We start from the raw sequence: 3769 nt of genomic DNA, 5'->3' as shown, positions 1-3769 counted from the left end.
ACTTGACCCAGCTTCATCAACTGTGGCCACCACTTCTGTGCTGGCCCTCTTCATCCCCTCCCCATTCATGACATGATCTGCATTTTAAGATAAGAATTCTAAAAGATTTCTCTCCAGTGATGGTGAAAGCTCTGGAGGTCCTCCCTATTTCTCCCTATATGTCCATCTACGTATCTTGTACCTCCCCCTTTTTAAAATAAGAAAATCCATTCTGAAATGAGATGACATTATTATAAGGTTAGGTGGACCATGTGCTAATCATAGTTTGTCAATCTCATTTTTCTCTTTTCTTGGTACTACTAAAGTATCTGGACAAAATGCTCCCACATAAATACTGATTGAATGCTACAGGTTTCGGTTTTCAGATTGCAAACCACAAATAAGAGTTCATGTATCATTTTGTAAAGTCAAAGGCACCTTCAACAGAAAGTTTTTTTAAATGAAAGCAGTTGATACTATCAGTCTGTTACTAATTAATATGAAGCATTGATTGAAATGCTTTATTTTTGAAAACCACTTAGCAATAGTATTTTTAACCTTGAAACGATATTTTATCAGGTTGATAATATAAGCCTAAATTAAATTGAATAGTATCTTGAATTAAATCTACAGACTGCTTTGGGTAGTATGGACATTTTAACAATATTGACTCTTCCAATTCATGAACATAAAATACTTTTTCTTTGTGTGTGTGTGTGTGTGTTCTCTTCAGTTTCTTTCATCAGTGTTTTGTAGTTTTCACTATAGACAGCTTACACTTCTTTGGTTAATTACTAGCTATTTAATTTCATGTGTGCCTATTGTAAATGGGATTATTTTTAATTTCTTTTTCATATTGTTCACTGTTGTCATATAAAAATGTTACTGATTTTTGTGTGTCAATTTTGCATCCTGCAACTTTACTGAATTTGTTCATCAGTTCTAATAGTTTCATTGTGCAGTCCTTAGGTTTTTCCAGATATAAGATTATGTCATCTGCAAACAAGAATAATTTGACTTCTTCCTTACTAATTTGGATGCCCTTTATATCTTTCTTAGGCCTGATTGCTCTAGCTAGGACTTCCAGTACCATGTTGAATAACAGTGGTGACTGGGCATTCTTGTTGTATTCCCAATCTTAGAGGTAAGGTTTTCATTTTGTCCCCATTCAGTATGATACTAGCTATGGGTCTGTTATATACGGCTTCTATTATGTTGAGGTATGTGCCTTCTACGCCCAGTTTTTTTAGGGTTTTTATCATGAAAGGATGTTGGATTTTATCAAATGCCCTCTCAGCATCAACTGAAATAATCATATGGTTTTTGTTCATTCTGTTGATATGATGCATCTCATTGATTTATTTATGTATGTTGAACCATCTTTGCATCCCTGGAATAAATCCCACGGAGTCAGGATGAATGATCTTTCTAAGGTATTTTTGAATTTGGCTTGCTAGTATTTTGTTGAGGATTTTTGCATCAATATTCATCAGAGATATTAGCCTGTGGTTTCCTTTTCTTGATGTGTCTTTGTCTGGTTTGGTATCAGGGTAATACTGACCTTGTGCAATGAGTTGAGAAGCATTCCCTCCTCCTCTATTTTTCGAAACAGTTTCAGTAGGATTGCTATTACTTCTTTAAATGTTTGCTACAATTCAGCAGTGAAGGCATTGGGTCCTGGGATTTCTTTCCTGACTTCAATCTCATTACTTGCTATTGGTCTGATCTGGTTTTGGATTTCTTCCAGGTTCAGTCTTGGTAGGCTGTATGAGTCTAAGAATTTTTCCATATTTTCTGGATTTTCCAATTTACTAGCATATAGTTGCTCATAGTAGCCACTAATGATGCTTCGATTCTCTGCAGTATCAGTTGTAATGTCTCCTTTTTCATCTCTAATTTTATTTACTTGGATCTTCTTTTTTTCTTGGTTGGGCTAAAAGTTTGTCATCTTTGTTAACTTTTTCAAAAGCCAATTTTTTGCTTTATTGATCTTTTGTATTGATTTCTTCATTTTATATTCATTTATTTCTACTTTGATCTTTATTAATTTTTTCCTTTATTAAGTTCAGGTTTGGTTTGGTCTTCCTTTTCTATTTCTTTAAGATGTATTGCTAGATTGTTTATCTGAAGTTTCTCTTCTTTTCCAATGTAGGCACTTATAGCTATAAACTTCCCTCCTAGTGCCGTTTTTTCTATATCCCATAGGCTTTGGTATATTGTGTTTCCATTATCATTTGTTTCAAACAATCTTTCAATTTTCTTTTTAATTTCTTCATTGACCCACTGGTCGTTCAGTAGCTTATTGTTTAATTTCCATGTATGTGTATAGTTTCCAAAATTCCTCTTGTCATTGATTTCTTGTTTTATTTTATTGTGGTCAGAGAAGATGCTTAATATTATTTCAAATTTTTTGAATGTTTAAAGACTTGTTTTGCAACCTAACAGATGGTCTATCCTTCAGAATGATCCATGTGTTGAGGGAAAAAAATATGTATTCTTCAGCCATTCAATGAGATGTTCTGTAAAAGTTTAATTTGGTGCATAGTGTGAATTAAATTTGATGTTTCTTTCCTAGTTTTCTGTCTGGAAGATCTGTCCAATGCTGAAAGTGGGGTGCTGAATTCTCCAGATATTACTGTAATGGGGCCTGTCTCTCTCTTTACCTCTATTTTCTTTATATATCTGGGTTCTCCAGTGTTGGGTGCATATATATTTAAAATTGTTATATACTTTTCCTGAATTGACATCTTATTATTATTATATAGAACATTTATTTGTCCCTTCTTATAGTTTTGGTCTTGAAATATATTTTGTCTGAATTAAGTATAGCTACTCCTGCTCTTTTTTGGTTTTCATTGGCATGAAATACCTTTTTCATACCTTTTTTTCAGCCTATGTATGTCTTTATAGGTGAAGTGTGTTTGTTATAGGCAGCAGATCATTGAGTCTGTTTTTTTTTAATACCATTCAGCCCCTTCAGCCACTCTCTGCCTTTTTATAAGCGAGTTCAGTTCATTTACATTCATTCTTATTATTGATAAGTAGTTTCATGCACATCCGTGTGAAGAGACCACCAAACAGGCTTGTGTGAGCAACATGGCTGTTTATTTCACCTGGGTGCAGACGGGCTGAGTCTGAAAAGAGAGTTAGCGAAGGGAGATAAGGGTGGGGCCGTTTTATAGGGTTTGGGTAGGTAAAGGAAAATTACAGTCAAAGGGGGTTTGTTCTCTGGCGGGCAGGAGTGGGGGTCGCAAGGTGCTCAGTGGGGGTGCTTTTTGAGCCAGGGTGAGCCAGGAAAAGGACTTTCACAAGGTAATGTCATCACTTAAGGCAAGGACCAGCCATTTACACTTCTTTTGTGGTGGAATGTCATCAGTTAAGGTGGGACAGGGCATATTCACTTCTTTTGTGATTCTTCAGTTACTTCAGGCCATCTGGGCGTATAGGTGCAAGTCACAGGGGATGCGATGGCTTGGCTTGGGCTCACAGGCCTGACATTCCTGCCTTCTTATATTAATAAGAAAAATAAAATAGTGTTGAAGTGTTGGGGCGGCAAAAATTTTTGGGGGGTGGTATGGAGAGAGAATGGACGATGTTTCTCAGGGCTGTTTCAAGCGGGATTAGGGGCGGCGTGGGAACCTAGAGTGGGAGAGATTAAGCTGAAGGGAGATCTTGTGGTAAGGGGTGATATTTTGGGGGTGTTAGAAGAAACATTCGTCGTATAGAATGATTGGTGATGGCCTGGATACGGTTTTGTATGAATTGAAAAACTAAATGGAATAACAGAAGG

At 36.1% G+C, this 3769-nt stretch overlaps 1 annotated feature.

The window, feature by feature from the left end:
* Window positions 2656-3500: an enhancer, noted in NCBI's record as "OCT4-NANOG-H3K27ac hESC enhancer chr5:83999549-84000393 (GRCh37/hg19 assembly coordinates)". NCBI's record gives its function as "activates a minimal SCP1, AML or CMV promoter by ChIP-STARR-seq in naive and primed H9 embryonic stem cells {active_cell/tissue: H9 hESC(naive and primed)}" and the evidence as "EXISTENCE:reporter gene assay evidence [ECO:0000049][PMID:30033119]".

Source organism: Homo sapiens, chromosome 5 (genome assembly GCF_000001405.40).
Source record: "Homo sapiens chromosome 5, GRCh38.p14 Primary Assembly".
In the NCBI taxonomy this organism is placed as follows: Eukaryota; Metazoa; Chordata; class Mammalia; order Primates; family Hominidae; genus Homo; species Homo sapiens.
Note: the sequence above shows the minus strand (reverse complement) of the source record. Positions and strands in the feature narration are given on the sequence as shown.